This window comes from Homo sapiens, chromosome 6 (assembly GCF_000001405.40).
Source record: "Homo sapiens chromosome 6, GRCh38.p14 Primary Assembly".
Lineage (NCBI taxonomy): Eukaryota > Metazoa > Chordata > Mammalia > Primates > Hominidae > Homo > Homo sapiens.
This window is the reverse complement of record NC_000006.12, coordinates 134,081,578-134,106,005: the sequence shown is the minus strand read 5'-3', so window position 1 is coordinate 134,106,005 and position 24,428 is coordinate 134,081,578. Positions and strand designations below refer to the sequence as shown.

General features: G+C 40.0%; 1 long non-coding RNA gene across 1 annotated transcript in view, besides 1 other annotated feature; it reads right to left on the bottom strand.

Moving 5' to 3' along the window:
* Positions 1-23,959, bottom strand: part of LOC124901404 (uncharacterized) — a 39,387-nt gene extending 15,428 nt beyond the window's left edge. Inside the window, exons 1-2 of the long non-coding RNA XR_007059774.1 lie at positions 21,893-23,959; positions 19,995-20,211 (exon numbers count right to left, since the gene is read on the bottom strand). This is a non-coding gene — a long non-coding RNA (uncharacterized LOC124901404). The remainder of the gene's footprint in view (positions 1-19,994; positions 20,212-21,892) is intronic.
* Positions 12,555-12,624: a silencer, noted in NCBI's record as "silent region_17556". NCBI's record gives its function as "represses an Ori minimal core promoter by ATAC-STARR-seq in GM12878 lymphoblastoid cells {active_cell/tissue: GM12878}" and the evidence as "EXISTENCE:reporter gene assay evidence [ECO:0000049][PMID:35858748]".
* Positions 23,960-24,428: the final 469 nt, after the last annotated feature.

Genomic DNA, 24,428 nt, shown 5'->3' with positions numbered 1-24,428 from the left:
TCCAGACTCCCTTGAAGGCATGCAAAGAGTAAGCAACCAGATCTGTGATCTCTCTCTCTCTCTGTCCCTCCCTCTGTCAATAGCCCTCTGAATCTGTGGGTTCCACATCCATGGATTCAGTCAACTTAGGATCAGAATTTTTTTTTAGTTGCATCTGTACTGAATATGTACAGACTTCTTGTCGTTATTTCCTAACAATTCAGTATAAAAACAACTGCTTACGTAGTATTACATTGTATTAGGTATTATAAGTAATCAAGAGATGATTTAAAACACACAGGAGGATATGCACAGGTTATATGTAAATTTATATCAGGGACTTGAGCTCGGTGGATTTTGGTATCCACAGGAGGTCCTGAAACCAATCCCCCATGGAGAATGAGGGACAACTATGTGTATATATACATTGAAAACAATGCCAGAAATGCAAATAGAAAAACAACAGTTTTCAGTAGGAGATCTTTAAAAAGTATTAATTTTAGTCTACAATGAAATGATGGAATATATGTAAAAACATTTAACAGGGATACATTTAAAAACTTTAAAACACAATTGGAAAGTTAATACAAAATCTCAAGTAGAAGTATGCAATTGCTTTTAGAAAATATTAATGTATTAATAGGCACTAGAATACAAGCAAAAATTATACTTCTGAAAAAAAAGTCACCAAATTCATTTTGTCAGTATTAATGGGACATGATATTTTAAGTGAAATTAATGTTATAAACAAAAGAATTCAGTGTACATAATGCCTTTGAAATCATCAAAGGCAAGAAGAAAGTCTTTGAGGAAAAACAAATTGTGTTTATGATATCTAATTGACACCAAATGGCAGTCTATTGATATTAATGCCAACTTGTCTACATAGAAAATACTAGAACTATTATGATTTTTCTCAACACAAAGTCTGTTCCACCTATGAGCCAAAGCTAAAAGTCAATATCAATTCTTTGTTTACGTTAGATATAACAGCACTATTTTTAAAAGAAAACGTGGCTGGACGTGGTGGCTCACGCCTATAATCCCAGCACTTTGGGAGGCCGAGGCCGGTGGATCACAACGTCAGGAGTTCCAGACCAGCCTGGCCAACATGGTGAAACCCTGCCTCTACTAAAAGTACAAAACTTAGCTGGGCAGGGTGGTGTGCACCTGTAATCCCAGCTACTTGGGAGGCTGAGGCAGGAGAATTGCTTGAACCTGGGAGGTGGAGGTTGCAGTGAGCCAAGATTGTGCCATTGCACTCCAGCCTGGGCAACAGAGCAAGACTTCATTTCAAAAAAAAAAAAGAAAAGAAAATGTTACTATATCAAAAGAACATCCTGGTCTCTTCAATGCAAGATGACCAGTGTTATCTGCAGAACTACTATAACTATGTAACTCAAATGACACATTTACAATTTAAATTGACTGTTGACCATAGTAAGGAATTCCATATTGATGGGCACCAACACAGAAGCTTTTCCTAAAACCTATGATAAATCTCATTGGAGTGCAGCATAATTTTGAGGGACAATTTCCTAGATGGATTTTTTAAAACTTTCTTTTAATTTTACAGAATAGATGTAACTTAGCCAAAATTGGTCACCAGTGGAGAATGTGGCTTCTCAAAATTAAAACTTATCAAAAGTGACATAATGTCTATAGTGTCACAAGAATGCCCAATCCAGTAACCATTTTTGAAGGAAAAAGTTATTGGAGCAAGTAAACTGAAACTATCAAAATGAATTTCCTTCCTATAAAAGAAATATATATAATAATTTTATAAGAAATTGTTATAGTCCAATGACTTTGGGTGCCCCATTACTCCAATTAAAATGTAGACTTTTATGTCAGTTGACTTGGTTTGCATAAAATATACAAGATGACACCATATTTCTGTAACTATTATCATCCCTTCCTCCAAGCGCATGCCCATATCCATGGCAGCTACAGCTTAATTCCTTGATGTGCCTAATCTTCCAAACAAAATGGTGAAGCTTTCTTCAGCAAAATTCCTAGAAAACGAAGAAGTTTAAGAGTAGTTTTGTGCTTATTTAGAGCTAGAGGACAGTGCAGAAAAACATATCTCCCAGAAATCTAAGCCTTATTTATTATTATTATTTTTTTAGACAGAGTCTCACTCTGTCACCAGGCTGGAGTGGAGTGGCGCGATCTCGGCTCACTGCAACCTCCACCTCTCGGGTTCAAGTGATTCCCCTACTTCAGCCTCCTGAGAGCCTTACTTTTTTCTAACAAATATCAGTAGGGGTGGAAAAGTTGCTTTCCTTCCTTCTAGTCTAACATAACAAGCACTACAGATTATCCAGTAACAAAAATATTTAGCACCTCTCCTGACAAAAATAACAGCCAGAGATAGGAATATGGTAACTGGAGAAGGGTGCCATCAATGAAACAGAAATTTCAAAGAATTCCTGGGAAATAGACATCATATGGGCATATATTGATGAAGTGTTCTGTGAAGAGAAGCCACAAACCAAAATAGCTGAGAGAGGGACATGTACACAGACTGGAGCTTTTTTCCTAATGGTGCGCCAGGGATACCCGCAGTTCCCAGCCTCTGTGGACAGCTTTAGGTGTAGCCACAAGGTCATGAAAGAACCCAGCACTCGGTGGTTACCCCAACTCACGCTCCCACTACCCTGAAAGACTAAATTTACTAATGTACAATTGCCAGACTGTATTTAACAATATAATTCAGACCCACAACCTGCAGCAATGTGCCCAGGAAACCAGCCCCCTTATCTACAATAAACAGCCCAGGAAGCCAGTTTGCTACCTCTGGTAACCGTCCAGGAAGCTAAACAAGAACTTCTGCCACAACTGGCACAAAATGTCCAGGACTTGGTTAGTAACTGGCAGCCTCCCTAATTTTTGTTCTCACTTCCAACTTAGGACCAACCTGAGAAAGCCAATTATATGCCCCCAGCCAATCACACGGGATGCCCCACTTCTCAATAGACACTTTCAGCTTCCCCCTGCCAACAGCCTGCAGTCAGGGCACACCTGAAGCCTTGTGTTTCCCCTCACTATGAAGCTTTTCTGCTCCTCTGCCTGCCTTGTAGTCTCTGCCAAACATAGGTGATGGTGGCTGACTTCCTTGCTACAGCAAGCTCTGGATAAATAGCTTCTGCTTTTCTCATTTAGTTGGTCTTTGTTTATTTCCACAACCCAGGCTGGGTGCAGTGGCTCACACCTGTAATCCCAACACTTTGGGAGGCCAAAGGGGGAGGATCCCTTGAGTCCTGGAGTTCAAGACCAGCCTGGGCAATGTAGGGGTACTCCACCTCTACAAAACAAACAAACAAAAAATTAGCTGGGTGTGGTGGCATGCACCTGTGCTCCCAGCTGCTTGGGAGGCTGAGGCAGAAGAATTGTTCGAGCCTGGGAGTTTGAGCCTGCAGTGAGCCATAATCCCGCCACTGCATTTCAGCCTGGGTAACAGAGCGAAAACCTGTCTCAAAAAAATAAAAAACAAAATAAAACAAAAATAAATAAAAATTAAAACATAGTTCCACAACCCCAAAACAGATCTCAAAGATAAGTGGGTTTCTGCTCTAGAGAGCTCCCACATGGAGGCCAACAGATGCAGATGAAAGCCCAAGGTAACTTCCAACTTGACCACAGGGCCCGGTGGGAATAAAAGTCAAGTTTGCTTCTCCTGAAAATGAAATGCAGCAAAGGCCTCCACTTCAGGAAAGTCTTTCCTTGGCAACAGTGAGGATTTGTTATGGCCTGCTCACTACCCATAAAGGCATCATAGGGTCTGTCTGACTGTCTGCCCAGCTTCTCCTCTCACACAGCTCTGGAGCTGGCTTCTCACTGAGACTGTTCTGTTCTATGATTTATAATTTACATTAAAAAATTTATTGGTATATAATAGCTGTACAGATTTTGGGGGCACATGTGATGTTTTGATACATGTATACAATGTGTAATGATCAAATCAGGGTAATCAGGATAGCTATCACTTCAATTATTTGTATTTTCTTTGTGTTGGGGACATAACAATTCTTATTTTTAGCTATTTCGAAATATACAATAAATTACTGTTAACTATAATTTCCCTACTGTACTATCAATTACCAGACTTATTCCTTCTATCTAAATATATTTTGGTACCCCTTAATCAACTTCTCTTTATCCCCCTCCCTCCCTCTTTCCTTCCCAGCTTCTGGTAACCACCATTTTACTCTCTACCTCCATGAGATCCAGAATTTAGCTCCCACATGTTAATGAGGATATGCGATATTTGTCTTTCTGTGCCTGGCTTATTTCACTTAACATAATGACCTCCAGTTCTATTCATGTTGTTGCAAATGACAGGATTTTGTTCTTTTTCGTGGCTGAATAATATTCCACTGTCTTTATCCATTCATCTGTTGATGGACACTTGGGTTGATTCCATATCTTGGCTATTGTGAGTAGGGCTGCAATAAACATGCAAGTGTCCACGGGTCTGAGAAGCTCGCCGGGCAGCAATCTCGGCTAGGAACCCGACATCAAGCTGATGGATGAGATGGTGATAATCATGGGGGGGCAAGATGGAGGCCACAACTTTCAAGCGGTTCATGGAGATGTGTGTCTGCGGCTACCTGGCTGTGCGGTGAGATATCTCTTTGATATACTGATTTCCTTTCTTTTGGATATATATTCAGCAGTGGGATTGATGGATCATATGGTAGGTATAGTTTTAGTTCTTTGAGGAACCTCCATACTGTTTCCCATAATAGCTGCACTACTTTACAACCCCACCAACAGTGTACAAGTGTTCGCCTGTCTCCACATTCTCACCAGCATTTGTCATTTTTTGTCTTTTTGATAATAGCCATTCTAACTAGAATGAGATGATATCTCACTGTGCTTTTGATTTGAGTTTTCCTGATGATTAGTGACACTGAGCATTTTTTATATACTTGGACATTTCTATGACTTCTTTTGAGAAATGTCTATTCATGTATTTTGCCCATTTTAATAAGATTATTATTATTATTATTTTGCTATTGAGTTGTTGAGTTGTTGGAATTCCTTATATATTCCAGTTATTAATTTCTTTTTTTTTTTTTTTGACGGAGTCTTGCTTTGTTGCCCAGGCTGGAGTGCAGTGGTGCGATCTCCGCTTACTGCAAGCTCCACCTCCCGGGTTCACGCCATTCTCTCGCCTCAGCCTCCTGAGTAGCTGGGACTACAGGCACCCGCCACCACGCCCAGCTAATTTTTTTGTATTTTTAGTAGAGACGGGGTTTCACCATGTTAGCCAGGATGGTCTCGATCTCCTGACCTCGTGATCCGCCTGCCTCGGCCTCCCAAAGTGCTGGGATTACAGGCGTGAGCCACCCTGCCCGGCCCAGTTATTAATTTCTTGTCAGATGAATAGTTTGCAAATATTTTCTTACTTAAACTTGGACAGTGTGATATATATATGAAGTGTGAAGGCCCTAGGATAGGTTATTTGACATCTGAAGCATGTTTTCCCTAATCAAGAATACATGCTCCAGAAGTGGTTAGCATTTGAAACACTCTAATCAGGCAGCCTCCCTGCAGAGGCTACTCCTACAGGCTTCGGTGATTTCCATCTGCACTATAAGGATTGTTTACCAGCATAAGAGCTGTTAGAATTCATTTTTTAATTGTTGAAATGAATGGTGTTCAAGTTATGTGATTTGCTAAAAAATATTATGCAAGAATGGTTGCCCTTGCATGAGCTGGGATATCAGAATCCAATGAGTGCAGCTTCCCATACCTTTCAAATTTCTTGTTCTAGGGCTCCAAAGAAAACCTGATCATGCTACTTTAAAATCACACTAGGTTAGTTAAATCTTCCTACTAAAATATTGTTACATTCAATGAAGTTTTTATGCAAGGTAGTCACAGAGCTTGTAAAAACAGATTATATAGCTGTTATTGGGCCAGCTTGCTAAAAGCTATTTGTTTGAGCCATAATTCAACCTGAAACTTGCTTTCATCATAACATATACCTGATAGTAAGGTTGTGTGGGAACACCTCTCACTCTCTACTACCTTTAGTCACTGGAGACTACTGACGTGTCCCAGCAATGATCTGTTTCTAATGGTTGGACTAGCTTAAGCCAGTTTAAATCCAGGGAAAAGGCTTGTTTTGGAAATGTATCTACACAGTGTCTGAGAAAATCTATGCTACTTATTTGTATTGATGAAGCACTTTCTTTTTCCTTTCCTTTCTCAGTAGTTTATAATAAGAATTTTCTTAACTTTTGAAAATGAATGGATAACCAGGGTCACCAGGCAATCGAAGAAAACACATTCAATTCAGTAATTCTTTTGGCATTACTATGAGGATTAAGTCAGATAATGTGTGTTAAATGCTTAGTATTTATCACTTAGCACGTATTCTATAAGTGATAATTATTACTTTAGATAATTAAATGTAAAATCTGAGAAAAAGTCAATAGAGCCCCTAAAGTTTCATTTTTTTCAATAATTCTCACACAAACTCAATAAATTTTAGAAAATTCCTCCTATCTGGTAGGCACTGGGAGTATAGTTGTGAAGAACTGGCAAAGACCCCACCTTGATGAAGTAGACATCTTAGGGCAGAGGCATACCACCAACAAATAAATCCATAATATCATGGAGTGACTGGTGCTCCAAATTAACATAGGGCTCAGCTGGTTCAGGGATGGAGTGTAATGGGATGGAGTGAGGAAGGGGATGGCTGCCTTTGTTAGCATGTTTCGGGGAGCCCTGGATGTAGAAGTCACATTTAAGCAGAGGTTCTGAGTGATATGAGGAAGCAAGTCATTGCAACATCTGGGAAGAGCGCTCCAGGTGGGTAAAACAGCAAGTGCGAATACTCTAAAGTGGGAATGTTCAGGCAGAGTTAGAAGTCTTGTGAGACTGGGCACAGTGTGGAAGAAGAAGGTCCAAGGAAATAAGGTCATTCCTGCCCGGTTTCTGTGCAGCCTGGAGGCCATTCTAAGGACTTTGGATGGAATCTGAAATATGAGATGGAGACATTGAGGAGTTAGAAGAGAGAAGGCTCATGATCTGGTTGACACTTATAAAAAGTGAATTAGAAGACATTTCAGTAGTCCTGGGAAAGAAGATGGCAGCTTGCCTAGGGTATTAGCGATGGTGGAGATGAAAAAGGTCAGACGAGGGCTGTATTTTGAATGCAGAGCTGTTGAGTTGTCTATGGACTGACTTTGAGACGTGAGACAAAAAGAGAAGCTAAAGATGGCTTCAACCTGAGTAATGCGATGAAAGGCCATGTGGTTTGCTAAGGATCATCCTTAGTGGGATGAGAGCACCAAGGAGCAGGCTGGGAGGACTTGAAGGCGTGTGATCGTTAAACACTAGTGTTAGATGTGTTGCAGCAGTTCTCTGTAATTAGTCTAAAAGCCCTCATGTAAGAAAAGTGACCATTCAGATTTAACAAGATTGGGATTCAGAAAAGGAGACAATGACTAGAAAATTGGATTCTAATAGAGTTAAGACAGAAACATCTGGTAACAGTTTCCTCACATCTCTGGCACTGGGGAATAGGGGTTATTAATTGAATTGCACTGTGTGTTCATTGTGATTTGTAGCATATGTATGTGACTGAGACACAGATATTAATATGGAAGAATTTCCTCCTCCTCATGACCTTCTGAGGACTTCAAGGGGCCTGCTTTACTCTTGGGCCTTTTTGGTATTGATTAGGGTAATTGATAAAGAGAAGATTTGGCAGCAGCTGAGAAAAGATAGGCAAATTTACACCGGAAAGGGCATGATCCTACAGAAAAAAATTGTAAAGTGAAGAAAGGGGAACAAGAGGCTGACGGGAGACAAGAAACAGTGTGGGAACGTCACAGTGAATTCCGGCTCAGGGACTATGTGATCCGGGAATGGCTCGGCCATTTGTCTTCTATAATAATATTCACATTCTAGAAGCTGTTTTTAGTAATTAAATGCTGCATTTTTAAAAGCATTATCCATTTTTTATTTGCTTATAGACATATGTTTCAAATCTTGGCACCATAATAAATTGGATTTGTAGAAACATGTGAACATTCAAGATAGAAATACTGCTTTAAAAAGGGTTATAACTTGAAATGACCCTCAATTAAACATATTTTAAGATCTTAAATAATTTCAAGAAGTAAAAATTAAAACTTTAGTAAAATTTCAGACTTTCCATTATGTTTTGCTATTGTAAGATTATGAAAACAAACAGATTAATATCTTAGAAATCAGAAGTGTTCCAAAATAACCAAGAAGCTTTCTTTCATGTCTACCTTAGGAAGAAATATTAATAATAATAACAACTAATATTCACTGAGCACATATTGTGTGCCAAGCACTGTCCTGAGTATGTCTATTTTATGGATGAGAAAGCAAAGGTACAGAGAGCTTATGAAGGTCACACAGGTAGGAAACAGCACAGCCATGCATATCCGTGCTCTTAGTCTCTGCAGCAAATTGTGAAATTCTTTCAGGAAGCCAATTTGAATAAAATTCATAAGAATTTTAGTTCTTAAAGAATTTTAGTTTCTCTTTTGCTTTAGTTAAAATCTCACTAGGTTAGTTAAATTCTGCTACTAAAATATTGTTACATTCAATGAACTTTTTATGCAAGGTAGTCAAACTAAAACAAAAGCTAAAACAAAGCCTCCGCTCTCCATCCATCACTTCATTTTATAAGCTATTATAGCAACTTCACCAGCAGATGGCAATGTTGGCTTGGAAAAGTCTGGTGAGCCCACTGCAAATGATTCAAGGGCCAGAATTTTCTGGCACTGGAGAAAAAAGGAGCTGCTTAAGGCTTTTTGAAAGAAGATTTTTGTTTTTGTTTATATAATGATACTGTTGCTTTATTATTTTATGACTTCTCTCTAACCTTCAAGCATTAGCGTTAGACTTGTAGCGAAGGAAAATTCTAGAAACCTTAAAATCACAAGATTTCTGAAACAACACTTTGATTGGACTCATTTTATCAGAGACAAAAAATGTCTGCATGACAACAGACATTAAGTATGCTTACTTGCCTTTTTTTTTTTTTTCTTTCTTTTTTGAGACAGAATCTCGCTCTGATCCCCGCTGCCCCGCCACCCGGGTGGAGTGCAGTGGTGCGATCTGGGCTTACTGCAACCTCCGCCTCCTGGGTTCAAGCAATTCTCCTGCCTCAACCTCTTGAGTAGCTGGGATTACAGGTGTGCACCACCACACCCAGCTAATTTTTTATATTTTTGGTAGAGACAGGGTTTTGCCATGTTGGCCAGGCTGGTCTCGAACTCCTGACCTCAAATGATCCGCCCGCCTCGGCCTCCCAAAGTGCTGGGATTACCGGTGTGAGCCACCGCACCTGCCCTCTTACTTGTTTTTCAAAAATGAAGACAACATTTTAAATTGTAGTTACTTAAAAAGAGATGCAAAACATGTTTTCCCCAGGACTGAAGTACTATAAGATCATAAGATTTAAAAGCTAAAAGGTAATTATAATTTTAAGCTCATTAATTATATTGCAGTTTCACTGAAGTCGTATAAACACCATAAAATAAGATAAATAAGATCATTTAATAGAAAAAAAATCCCTTAAATCATTTGTCTTATGTAATGTAAATGTCGTTTGTAAATATTTACTTGCCTGATTTTCCCAAGGTATTTGATTTTCTCGCTCACTCTATGTTTTCCATAGTAGTAGCTAAAATCACTTTTGTAATGAACTAATGTCAGCAATGCCATAAATGCTGAATATTTCAGGGAGTCCTTATATTAAAATTAAAAGAAACTTCTCTAAGCAACTTTGTTGGGGCTCAAGTACTAATTTATATGGAATTACCTGCTGTTAGTGCCTGTCACGAGTTTTAAAATCATGAACAAGTTTAGACAGAGAATATCTCCTTCAACTTACTAATCTCTTATAAACTGATTATACTCATTTTGAGATTAATCATTCTGAGGTTTTCATTACTTGTATTGGTGCCGCAAAATGGTAAACTTGTACTGAGACTTATTAGTTCCAAACACAAATAATAAGAACCAGTAGACAATTTTCCAAAGTGGATGGCAGAAAGTTTGGCTCTGTGTGACTTAATTTGTTCATTTACTCATTCATTCCTAATTTATTTTTTTCAATAAACGCATACCAAGCACTAAGATATTAGGGCTATAGGGTTGATGAAAACTGTCAAAGTCCTGCCTTGAAGGAACTTACATTCTAAGAGGCTTATAATAAAAGCTCATGTTTATTAACTGTAAGACATACTTACTGTTATAGTGACATTATACTGACTACTGTAAGCAATACTCTTATTTAATCTTCATAATAAATGCATGAGTTTGGGGCTGGGTGTGGTGGCTCACGCCTGTAATCCCAGCACTTTGGGAGGCCGAGGCCAGCAGATCACCTGAGGCCAGGAGTTAGAGACCAGCCTGCGCAACATGGCAAAACCCTGTCTCTACTAAAAAATACAAAAATTACCCGGGCATGGTGGCATGTGCCTGTAGTCCCAGCTACTCAGGAGGCTGAGACAGGAGAATTGCTTGAACCCAGGAGGCAGAGGTTGCAGTGAGCTGAGATTGTACCACTGCACTCCAGCCTGGGAGATAGAGCGAGACTCCATCTCAAAACAAAAAAAAAAAAAAAAAAGAAAAAAAAGCATATGAGTTTGGTTCTAATTTACATCAAATGAATAAATATCAAGTAACTTGATATCTTATAGCATGATAGTTTTACCTTGGAAATGGGTGTAAAATTTATTTTTTGGTTGCCAAAAAATGCCATTTGGATAATAAGGGATTGTCTATGGTTTAGATGAAACTGATTTGATCCATCAAAAAGATTTACTGAACAATTACTATGTGTCTAGTACTCTGCTATAAATTAGGTAAGAAATGGAAAATTATTCCCTTCCTATAAGCCACATATATTCTAGTTACATAGCTGTATTCATTTTTATTCCATTATTTAAGATGGCAACCCGTGAGGAGTCTCTGACCCATCCTCTTCCTACTTCTTATTAAAATTCTTGGGAAAAGAGTATCCAACAGAGCCAGTTACACAGGAGGGTTGACAAGTGGCAGGCATGGGAGCAATGGTGCATGGACTCAGGGTTTCAATCTGAGACCTCCTATTGAAAAAAAATAAATAAATAAAAAATAAAATTCTGAGGAAAAGAGAAATATATAAAAACTTGCAGCACTGAAAATCAAGACTGGTAATATTCTAGACCCTAAGAGAAATGTTTCTTAACTCTCAGGAATGGCCTGGGTTGAAATGCCCAGCCTGTGCTGTGACACAGGAAACTGAACAGCCTTAATACCTCCCAAACCGTCTACCCCTGCTCCAGAAATGCAAGGACTGGACTGGAAGGAAAAATGAAAACAAAAAAACTCAGGCATCTCTTCCTCCCTGCTGTGACTGCAACTCCCAGAAGACAATTGAACTAGTAGAGAATGCATTGAATCTTGGGCTATGTAATCTCCTAAGTAAAGTACTCTAAGCAGAAAGTGCCAGCTCTGTAAGGAATCACTTTTCATATTCTCTTTGTGTTCAGTGTCAGAGAAATAGTAGAAGAGGTAAAATACAATCCCATTGGTTCCACAGAACAAAGCTAGATGTAAGCAATTGGTTAGCTGCTAGAATTTGGGCTAGGAGCTGAGTATACTAACCTATTAAACAGTTATAGACCTAAAGAGAACATTTAACCCGCATCCAATTGTCAGACAGTAAAACCAAAAACATCATCCACGCTCTGGCAAATTCCAGGTCTGTTAGGTAACCCCTCATGGGACTATGAATAGGCAAAGAAATAAGAAAACATAGTGTATCCATTAGCAGACGATGCATAGCAAGGCATAGGTTTTTCCCCAAGGCCTATCTCATGATCTTAGGGACATACAACAATAAATATTTATTCTTATAAATGTTTGAGTCAGGTAGGGATTGGTTGATCTAGGCTGGCTTAGTTGAGTATATTTCTCCATAGAGGTGAATACTTTCTAACAGTAATCTGTGATACTACACATAAACAAAAAGCATGGGAGATTTTGAAAATGTATTACCGAACCAAAGAAGAGATTCCAGATATTGGAACCCCCCCGCCCCCACCAAAAGCAAGCAAACAAACAAAACCCTCTAAAAAAATATATAAAAATGATTATAGAATCCAGAAGAAAAATTGAGAGGTTAAAAAAATGCTTTGAAATTTTCGAGAGGATTCAAAATGATATTCCTATGTAAAATAAGACCAGCAAGTTATAAGACAAAAGACTGAACAGATTTCAAAAGTGCACTAAGACAATGAAAGTAGAAAGATTATGAAATATTTTAAATGAATTTCAAAATGCAGAAATCAAATTAAAAATCCACATTTGAAGCAATAAAGAGCAGACTTGAAATTGGATAAAAATCAGTTATGATGTATAAAAGCCTTTTCATAATGAAGAGAAGATATTAGAGAATAGACATCTGTGATATGAAGTTAAGAGTTCCCCAAGAAAAACTCAAGCAGTTGAAACAGCAAAAACTATACACATTATTGAGGAAAAAAGTTATCTGAGTTGTGTCAATGCCCTCTAGCCAAAGGCTACCGGGAGCACACTGGTAACTAAACAAGGGTGGTTTTATTGACTTTTCATAACAAAGGAGAAGTGAAATACCATACCATGCTGTGTATGGGGAACTGTGGGGCATGTCAGTAGAGGGTGTGAGAGGACTTACATGATTTTGGCTTGTGTTAGGTGATTCTGGGGAGAGTTCAAACAAGTAAGATTTTTCCCCAAGGTTGGTCTCATGATTGGGTATGTATTAGTTTCTCAGGGCTGCTGTAACAAAGTACTACAAACTGAGTGGCTTCAACAACAGAGATTTATTCTCTTAGAGTTCTGGAGGCTGGAAGCCCGAGATCAAGGTGTGGGCAGGGCCATGCCTCTGAAAGTGGTAGGAGAATATCCATCCTAAGCCTCTCTCCCGGCTTCTGGTAGTTCCTTGGTTTGTGTAGCATAACTCCAGCCTTCACATGGTGTTCTTTCTGTGCGTATATGTCTGTGTCCAAATTTACCCTCCCTATAATTATGGACACCAGCCATACCGATTTAGGGACCCATCCTATAGACGAACCCATCTCAACTTAACTATTTCTGGTGCAATGACTCTATTTTGAAACAAGGTCACATTCTGCAGTCCTGAGGGTTAGGACTTCAATATATAAACTTGAGGATGAGGGGAAGGGACAGAATTCAGTGTATAACAGGTATCCTAGTGACCTTATCAAGAAAGAGAGAATAGAATGATGTCAAAGCTGTAATTGGTAAAGAAGTTGTCACTTAGCTTAGGGAGATATTCTTTCACTTTCAGGTTAGGGAGAGATTTGGTCATTTTTGTGGTTTGGAGAACGTTTCTGGTTTTGTCGGTGTTCAGGCATGATTACAGTAGAGTGGCCTTGTTATTGTCCTGATCCGTCTTGGTCACAGAATGATGTCTATGTCTAGTGTCAATGTTCTGTGAAATTGTTTTTGTTCAACAGAAGAGGACAAAACTTAGCCATGAGTACCATCCGTGAGTACTCGCAAAGCCAAGACCTAATTGATGGGACAGGGCCAGCTTCCTGCTCTCAGGGTTGCTTTTTACATTCTCAGTCACCTATTTTGATCCAGGGCAGATGAAGTCCAAATCACAGGACATGAATATATGGTTTCTAGGCTGAAATTTTGCTGATTAGGAGGCTTTCCAGAGAACATAGTCTCTATTTCTGTATTTGAACTCTTTAAGACTCCAAATTTCACCCTTTTAGAACTCTCTTTTTTGTTTCCTGTTATCTCAGTAATTGAAAAAAATAAAAATAAAATATAACTCTCCTTTGAGCAGTGTGAAGTTCTTTTTCGTTTCTCCAAAACAAATACCAACCTTACCCTGGTTTCAGAATCACCAATAGAAAGATAAACTAGAAAATGTACTTTCAAAATATATGAGGTGGTCAATCCCTATGTTTCACAGAGAGAGAAAGCCCGATTCCTTTCCATGGAGAGTCAAGGGCAGGGAGCTGCCCTTAGCTGTGCTTAGATGGATATATGGAGCTGCGGAAAGCTGGTTTCATTAAAGAAGTTCTGAATTACAGTGACAGCGAGGACTGTTTCTTTCTTGTGTTTCAGCAAGGGGGAAGGGATAGATTCTGAGTTTGGTCATTGCTGAGAAACTTTTAAATCAAAGCTGTGCAAAGCTCCAGATTTATCAATGGCCAAAGGACATATAAATCTATTCTAAATCAGGGTTTGGGGAATGAATTCTATTTTATTACTAGGTGCTGAATCAGCTGCCTTATCACATTTCTGCTATAGATTGGATAGAAATATTTCTGAAAAAGTCATCTAGTTTGATCAAGAGATTTAAAAACATGGAACATATTATGAACAATCGCAATGTTTAGGATTAAAGGAAACTTATTGTTTCTAGAGTAAATTTTATTGCTTTGTAGATGTATATCTCATATCCTCTTAAAGTATGTAACTAGTGTGGACTTTACTAAGCTTTAAAATTCAGTTCCCAGGCCTCTTCACTTATGTTGTAGTCCTTTCACATTACTGCTAAGAACCTGGCACCACTTTAGTAAAATGTAAAATGATGGCTTGTCTATCTGTTTAATCCCAACCCTCCTCCACTCCCTCTTCCCCAGGCCTCTAAAGAAGTTCTGTAAAAGGGCTTAGAGAAACCAAACTGCTTCTTAATCCTCTAATATGTATTAAAATACTTCTGTGCTTAATGAGTTTAAATTCCAAAAAACAAAATAAGGTTCTACAAGTCTTAACTTTAGGCACCTCCTTCTCTTCTGGGCAAACTTTTAACTTCTTCTTTTTTTTTTTTTTTTTTTTTTGAGATGGGGTCTCACTCTGCAAGGCTGGAGTGAAGTGGCACAATCATGGCTCACTGCAACCTCCACCTCACAGGCTCCAGCAGTCCTCCCACCTCAGCCTCCCAAGTAGCTGAGACTACAGGCACCCACCACCACACCCAGCTAAAGCTTCTTATCAGTAATTGACACATGGTCAATTCTGATTCTGGGACCAGGATGCACATTCGTTTTGCCATTGGCCTGAGTCAAATACAATTGGGATAGTTAATATTCTGTACGAAATTTTAAAAATCATACGCTATTAATAGCCTAAACCTACACATCAGCAATTTTGTACTTGCTATGTTTTGGATAGCCTCAGCACTGAAGTAGTGTGGTGCAGCTGAAAGACTATGTCTTTGGTTTCAGTAGGCTTTCCTCCTTCACAGACCCTGTGGCCTTAAATAGCTCTTTACATACTCATGTTTCTGTCCTTTAAAGTGAGGGTGAAAAGGTAGTTTGTTAGAAGCCAATGAGATAATGGATGCCAGACATCAAATATTAGTGTTCTTCTTTTCATTTTCTTCCATTATATAATTATGAGTGCGGTATATTAGTCTTATCACAGAAAACACATATAATGCTCATTGCACTAAGCATTGTGACACACACACACACACACACGTATATAAAATTCATTTAAGTAGTCAGAGGTCATACAAAGGAAGAGGATTGAAGAACTCTTTAATTCTCCCTTTCACCAGCTCTCTTCTGCTCTTTCCATCTGCCTCTCTGATATGGTTTGGCTGTGTCCCCACCCAAATCTCATCTTAAATTCCCACATGTTGTGGGAGGAACCCAGTGGGAGGTGATTCAGTCATGGGGGTGGGTCTTTCCTGTGCTGTTCCCGTGATATTGAGTAAGTCTCACGAGATCTGATGGTTTGAAAAAGGGGAGTTTCCCTGCACAAGCCTTTTCTCTTGTCTGCCACCGTGAGAGACATGACTTTCACCTTCCATCATAATTGTGAGGCCTCCCCAGCCATATGGAACTGTAAGTCCAATAAACCTCTTTCTTTTGTAAGTTGCCCAGTCTCAGGTATGTCTTTATCAGCACCATGAAAATGGACTAACATACTCTCCATCTTTCTGTCTTAGCTTTTCTCTGTTTTCATGCCTTCCCCTTTCTGCTGGAGCTTCCCAACCCTTAGTCTCAACATGGGTCCTTCTGGTCCTATGCATTCTAGGGCCTTGACTCATTCTACTGTGAAGTGGTTCTTAAATCTTGGACCTTATGGATTATACATCTTTTTTTTTTTTTTAATAGAGTGGACCATAAAAAGTTGTCTAGTTTCTTTTAAAAAATTTCAAATAGAGAAATTACAAAAAACAAAAAACTAAGCAACTACTCTCTATCACCACTTTCATGTTTTCTGTTTGTTTGTTTGTTTGCTTCTTTGTTTTTGTTTTGTTTTGAGACAGAGTCTCACTCTGTCGCCCAGGCTGGAGTGCAATGGCGCAATCTCAGCTCACTGCAACCTCCAACTCCTGGGTTCAAGCGATTCTCATGTCTCAGCCTCCCGAGTAGCTGGGACTACAGGCGACTGCCACCATGCCCATCTATTATTTGTATTTTTAGTAGAGATGGGGTTTCACCATATTGGTCAAGCTGGTCTTGAACTCCTGACCTCAAGTGATCAGCCTGTCTAGGCCTCCCAAAGTCCTGGGATTACAGACATGAGCCACTGTGCCTGGCCCAAATTCATGTTTTTAAAAAAGGATTCATATTTTAATATCAAAAAATAGTTGGAAGAACCTAATCTCAAAATAAAAGGAAGTCCTTTACATTGAATGATTTACCATTATAAAAAATTCTCTGGATAGCTTTTCTTTTTCTCAGTCTCTTTTAATCTGGTAAAAATTTGAATCCAGAGGCTGGCTTTAAAAATTACTTTCTGTTTTTCTTTATCTTTCTCTTCTTCTTCCTTTTTGTCTTTTTCCCTCACCCCTCTTATCAAAATGTATTTTCCTTGTGCTCTACTTCTTGAAAGCCTGCCTAGTGACAAGAATTAATTTAAAAAGCCAAATTTATGGTGAAAAATAGCTCAAGATGTTACTGTTCCTTTCTAAGTGTTTCTATCTGTTGACTTTTAAGCTCAAATAATAAAGATATTTTGTAAGCTCATGTCACTCAAAATTTCAGAGGTCAGATAGGATTGGTTTGATTTGTAAGTTTTTAAAGATGTTATTAAAGACCCAGCATATCTGCCTCCTCTCATTGTTCTAATCACATAAATCTGGCTCTCCCTCATGCTCATAAGATTGTGGCAAACAGTATCTGAGGGATGTTTCCTCAACCACATCCAGAGAGAAAGCCTGTCCATGGTTATATTTATCGTTATATTTTGATGCTGGCCTTTCTGGTAGCAGAACTGTTTTGAAAGCCATAGTGAGCCAAACAGATCTTTCAGCAGGCAGCTGCCTGTACCACCAGAAGTCCCACTTGCAGGGGGAACATTAAGAATTGACTGTTTTGTAATTGGCCAGAGTCCCATCCTTCCAAGACTTCTTTCTGTCAACATATAATTATTGAGTTCCTGCGCTAAGTCTTCAATGAAGCATGAGGGGAAGGACGAGTTAAACTGTATGCTGTATTTCCTCTCCATTATCAATGCTGAATTTTAAACCAAACCACCAAAATGCCTATTATTTAAATTACAAATGCTATTTTATCCTGGGGAGCAGAATAAATTATTGGAATATTTATTCGCATTTTAAAAAAATTTTGTAGGGAACCTGAAGAATGGGATTGTTTTTTCCTCCTTTCACACCCTAAGAAATTAGATTCTGACTCTGTGCTCCCTGACGTCAGGATATTTTTATTGTTGAACTAAAAACAGAAGGTGGAACATGCTCAGAGTAAGCCCTTCCCTGCCTCACCAATCCTCCAGCTTGGCTTTTGTTCCAGGAATAGAGGACCATCAAGGGAGGCCTGTACTGTGGGTGGAGGAGCCAGAACTGACCAGACAAGGATGCAGGAGTATTGGTTCCAGAACCTGAGGAGAAACTGGCATTTAGGGGGTTCATGCTGAGTGGGTCCTTGTGCCCCAAGAGGACCTAAGACCTTCCTTATGAGGTGGCTCGTAACTGATAAAGGAACTGAATACTAATAATGAGTATTAATACTAATGTCAAGGGGAGTGTACTTATGTCAAGGGGAGTGTTTCCTGATGTTTCCTCCCACATGGAGGGAACTCCATGAGTCAAACACCTAATCTCTCTCCACCCATAACTGTTGGTCCTCCCAGGCAAGGAGAAGCCACTGCTCTGATGAATAGGTTGGCGGAAGGAACCAGGTCTGCACATCCCAGGTCTATTCCATTCTTCCTTGATCTCTTCTGCTATCAATTCTCCAGGCTCTGCCCTAAGGAACAAGGACTGCAGTTGCAGCCTTGGCTGGGCAGGTGAACCAGTCTATCTCTGGGGTTTGGTATTAGCAAACCATTCAGTCATCCTCCCCAGCCTAGTTTTCTCAGTATCTAAAGTGATATTTTGATCTCTACCTGCACTGTTCCCGCACCTGTCTCTCAATGGGTCCTTAACTCAAGTAGCAGAGAAAAGGAAGTGCCATGTATTGACCCCTTCAGACACCAACAACTAAGGATCATGGCCTTGGACACTGAGGTAACAATTCTTCCTGCCCACTTTGAATAAACCATTCAAGCATTCATTTATTTATTCAACAAATATGAATTGACTGCCCGAGATGTGCTAGGCATAGTTCTCAGCAGTGGAAATATGCCAGATGGGTGTCTCAACCCCAGCAATGATATAGTGAAGACAAGATGCCTTTTATGTGTTTGGGGGGCATCATGTAAGTCCTCAGATCCCTAATGACACTCCCAAAACATGACTGATGTATGTAATTTAGAATAAATAATACAATCGTTTGCACATATAAGTACTGTAGATCAAATTCATAACCACTACTAATAATTTAAATTTACTTAGAAAGGGTAGCTGTTCATTGAGGGAGCTAGAGGGCAGGATAGGAAGGGAAAAGATAGGACCTTTCCTTGAACTATATAGCGGTTATACGAACAACGTAAAAATTGATAATCTTTTCACCCACATCTATTCTATCACATGGAGAAAAAAATTCTAACCTCAAGTAAACTGGGTTCAAAATGAGAAAAGTAAAATGTTAAAAACAAAAAAGGCTAAGATACATCACTCTTTTCTCTTCATACAAAAATTTTTAAAGTTATTGAACAGAAAAATAAATTCATATATGTTGATTCAACACTTGTCAGATTTAAAGTAGTCTTTAAATAACTGGATGGCCAAAATACCATATTTCTAAGAAGGCTGTGTATTAGTGTGTTCTCACACTGCTAATAAAGACATACCCAAGACTGGGTAATTTATAAAGGAAAGAGGTTTAATGGACTCACAGTTCCACGTGGCTGGGGAAGCCTCACAATCATGGCAGAAGGCGAATGAGGAGCAAAGTCATGTCTTAATGGTGGCAGGCAAGAGGACATGTGCCAGGGACCTCCCTTTTATAAAACCATCAGTTCTCATGAGACTTATTCACTATCATGAGAAAAGTATGGGAAATACCTGCTCCCATGATACAATTACCCCCTACCGCATCCCTTCCACAACATTTGGGAATTATGGGAGCTACAATTCAAGATGAGATTTGGGCAGGGACACAGCTAAACCATATCAGGAATATTAATCTGACAGAATAACAAAAACCCCATAATCTCCTTCAAGATCTTTAAATGATCTATTGCAGTCCCCATACCTTGCTTATTTCGAAAACTCTAAAGGAAAAAGATTTTGAACCACAAACTAATAAAGATTATTATTATTCTCATTTATATTCCTTTTTTTTAGAAACAGGGTCTTGCTCTGTTGCCCAGGCTGGAGTGCAGTGGGACAATCAGAGTTCACTGTAAACCTTGAACTTCTGGGCTCAAGTGATCCTCCCACCTCAGCCTCCAGAGTAGCTGGGACTACAGGCATGCACCACCATGCCCTCCTAATTTTTTTAATTTTTTGTAGAGATGGGGTCTCATTGTGTTGGCCAGACTGGTCTTGAACTCCTAGCCTGTATTAGTCAGGGTTCTCTAGAGGGACAGGACTGATAGGATAGATGTATATACGAAAGAGAGTTTATTAAGGAGTATCAACTCACACAGTCACGAGGTGAAGTTCCACAATAGGCCGTCTGCAAGCTGAGGAGCAGAGAAGCCAGTCCGAGTCCCCAAATCTCAAAAGCAGGGAAGCTAACAGTGCAGCCTTCAGTCTGTGGCAAAGGCCCGAGAGCCCCTGGCAAACCACTGGTGTAGGTCCAAGAGTCCAAAAGCTGAAGAACCTGGAGTCCAGTGATCGAGGGTATGAAGCATCCAGCACTGGAGAAAAATGGAGGCCAGAAGATTTAGCCAGTCTAGTCTTTCCATGTTCTTCTGCCTGCTTTTATTCTAGCTGTGCTGGCAGCTGATTGCATTGTGCCCACCCAGATTGAGGGTGGGTCTGCCTCTCCCAGTCCACTGACTCAAATGTTAATCTCCTTTGGCAACACCCTCACAGACACACCCAGTAACAATACTTTGCATCATTCAATCCAATCAAGTTGACACTTAATATTAACCATCACATGGCCTCAAGTAATTCTCCTGCCTCTGCCTCCCCAGGTGCTGAGATTACAGGTGTGAGCCACCACGCCTAGCTCATTTTTAATTTTTGTCTGTGACTAAAGCCATGTACCAGAAGCATTTAAAAATTATCCATTTTCTTCTTATTTACCATGTTTGCCAAATCCAAATGTGAAATGCAAGAAATAGCTTTAGTTTAGTTAAGATTTTTAAAATACGTGTAAGAAAAAGACATGTTACCATGCCAAATTTCTACCATGCTCTAATCACAGAAAGTTGGATTTAATTTACATAATAGCTATTGCAAAACTTGTTCCTTGGCAAGTAGCTCTGGCTCTCAGCAAAGTCATGAAGTGGGTAAATTCTCTTTTGGTCCACCTAATTCAAACTTCTTTTTTTGGGGGGTGGGGAACAGAGTTTTGCTCTTGCTGCACAAGCTGGAGTGCAATGGTGCAATCTCAGCTCACTGCAACCTCAGCCTCCCAGGTTCAAGCGATTCTCCTGCCTCAGCCTCCTAAATAGCTGGGATTACAGGCACCTGCCACTACACCTGGCTAATTTTTGTATTTTTTAGTAGAGACAGGGTTTCACCATGTTGGCCATGATTGTCTCAAATTCCTGACCTCAAGTGATCTGCCCGCTTTGGCCTCCCAATGTGCTGGGATTACAGGCGTGAGCCACTGCGTCCGGCCTCCAATTCACACTTCTTAATGCCCAGGCCTCACTCCACCCACTATTCCACTGTGGTCTTCTGATTTCCCTACTAGAAAATTTCAAATTTCGGTAGATAGCTCTCTTAAAAAAAATTAATTTTAAGAATATGCAGATAAGAAATACAAGTGAGCAAAATGAGATATGAGAAGGCTTCAATATAATTCTGCATATACATCTGAATTATGATGTCACATTGGGCTATACTTTGTTTACATGTCTGACTCTCACACCGGATTAATAATTCTGTAGCATAGACTCACTCTTGTTCACATTTGAATCTCCCCTCCCTAGCACAGGCCGTGACACACAATAGGTGATCAATTTATTTTTGTTAATAATGAATGAAGGTTTATCACATTTGGCAACATATTTGTTGTCCCTATTCATCTAAATTGCTACCTCTAATTCCCATTTCATCTTTTCTCAAAAGGCATTTTGAAATTGGATGAGTGAGCAGAATAGAAATGTGACTTCCATGGAGGGCAAGCAGAAAACAACTTTATTATTTCTCTTCATTGCCCTTTCAAACCTGTTCTATAAAGGTATTTTTTTCTCTGCTTGTTGGATAAAATCCAAAACAGGCCTCAAGAATCTTATAATAACTCTCAGAAGATAAAAAAGACCTTCAGTTCCTTCTAGTCATATCAGCTTTATTTCAATAATCGATATATCTAGTTCCATGTAGAGCAATAAATCCAAACTTAAGTTAAGACTTCTTCCTTACCCAGTTCAGGCCTCCTCTGGGCTGGAAACTTGCAGTGGGAAAGAGGAATGTGGTAGTTTCCTTTCGATTTCCTTGATTTTCTCCTCTTTCCCAGCTGAGCTGAGGCCCTAATTGAGGATGGGGTATGGAGGCTCCAAGCTGACTTTTTTCCTTTGAGTGCACTTGTGGGTTCTTCAGAGGTCTCTGTGAGACTTCACATTGCCCAGTTTTCTCATGAGGGACTCATTCTCTAGCTGAACTGTTGTAACAACCCTCACCTTCAGCACCTGACCCTTGTTCCCTTGCCCTGATACTGATGGGATCCCCTCACTCAGCTGCTCTCCTATGTAGGATTCCTTCCAGATGGATCCAGTTACAATCCTCATTGCCCATGTGGTTCATGGCAATCTCAAGCTTTTCTGCCCTCATACATGGCATCAGCTTAGCCTTTTAGCTTTGGCTCCATGCGTAAGAGCCAAACACATTACCAACTCTAAGCCACACTCATCAACCTTTCCAAGTGTGTCTCCGAAGCCCTTCTCACTACACTTGGGGTAAAGGTCCCCGAGTCTCTCCCCTCCGCAATGTCTGGGGTTAGGGGGAGAAAAAGACATCAGCTTGCCAATAATTTTTTCAACATGCATTCTTACTCAATCTCAACCTCTTAACCCTTTGGTGGATGTTAGGATGGCAGAGGTTTTTGATCACCTTCTTTGCTAGCTCCGTATAGGAGGCTAAGCACTTCACTTGGGAATATGGGAACATTTACCATCTATGATTTTTGACTCAACCTTTGGAGACAGCAGTCAATATCAAGAGCAAAGGTGTCCTATATTAATATCCTATGCAAACACAAAAGGCAGGGTTCATAGTAGCCTATTGTTTCGAACCCAGACTCTTTTAAAAATATAGTGGTTAGGTTTTAGTGCAAAATGCTGAATGAGTATATGTTACAAATAAAGAAATATAGGGTGAAAACAACCACAGCAGGCAATGAATGGACTGGAGATTTTGACTGGTTTCTAGAATACGGAAAGAAGATCGTGTAGTATTGAATAAGAAGACAAGCAACCTGAGTGCCTTCAAAAGAAGGCTACAGTGGAGGTGGCAGCTGTTCTCCTGTGCAAGCTCCAGGGACCCCTAAGCTCAGGATTGGCCAAAACAAAAGCAAGAGTAGGCAGCAGGCATTTAAGGCATTAAATGCTAGTGGCTACCTTGACATCTATCTTTTCTAACCCTACATTTATCAAGGAACCAGTTCTACCGTGCTTAGTCCCCGGTGTGGGGACAAAAATGACTCCATTTTGGGTGCTAATCCACCATGTTGACTTCTGACAAGCCCTAGTCCCATGAATGCCTCCTGCTTCCTACTTTATTTACTGCCCTTAGTGTAAGAAGAGGTCAAAAATGATGCTGTCACACAAGTTATGGGCTATGACGCACATGGCATTCCTGCCTGTTCTGGAGGGTTGTCTTTAATTATCTTGCTGCAACATGTCCACTCTTTCCCTATTGTATATGAGCTTTGGGTCTGGGAGGTAACTGTGTGGAAATCTATGTGTCTTGTGACCACCCAAGATCACGCTTATATCTATAAGTTTCTGCAATAAACCACCCTTTACCGACAAACTGAATTTGTCTAGTTTTGTTCTTTGATGTATTGACTCCTTTGGCATCTGGGGACCGCTTTGCATATATGGCCCTTTTAGGAACATCAGGGAAAAACCCCACAGAGGTGTGGTTTCTAAAGAAAGTCAATGACCTATGACTCTGGGGCTTAGGGCCGCAGGAGTGGATGTTGGCACACCAGAGTAAAGCTCTAGCCTTTTTGACAACAAAATTGGTCTACATGTTCCCTACAGGGCTTCCACCCCAAAGTAGATAGACCCTGTGATTCAGTGCATGTGCATGCATGCATAAGCACACACACACACACACACACACACACACACACACACACACACACACCCCACCCCCATGACAACTTGCCTGTTTCAGGAAAAGCTGTGTTGGGAGAACAGACCTATGCAGTTGCTTTGGGAAGCATAACAACCACATGCATCAGTCAGTCTAGCCCTTCATGTAGATATAAGAGACCATCAAGGATCAGCAGACCATTGCCAAAGGGGTCAGGGTAAACACCAGAGGCTACAAATGGTGGAGGTTGGGAGCAAAAAGTACTTGGGACTCATGCCACCCACATCCTGTAGAGAGAGGCATGCTTGATTCGGGGAGCTGCTGAACACAAGGGTCTCCTGCTGGAGACCCTGAATTCCTGTTGCACTCCCTGTGTGTAAAGTGAGCCCAACAATGGCCTTGAATGTGAGAAATAAACATTTTGACCTCAAGTACTAAGAAGTCTGAGCTTAGGCACCAATCACCCCTGGAAAATACCAGCTTTCAGCATCTGGAGAATTGGACAGTGCCTACTACTGTGAGAAGCTGAATTCTGGTAGAAGCCATCCCAGTGGATGCAGGGCAGCACTTGAGCACATGGGAAAACTCAGGCTCTTTCTCTGGGAAACATGAGCCATCAGTCTCAACAAGCTTGTTGCCA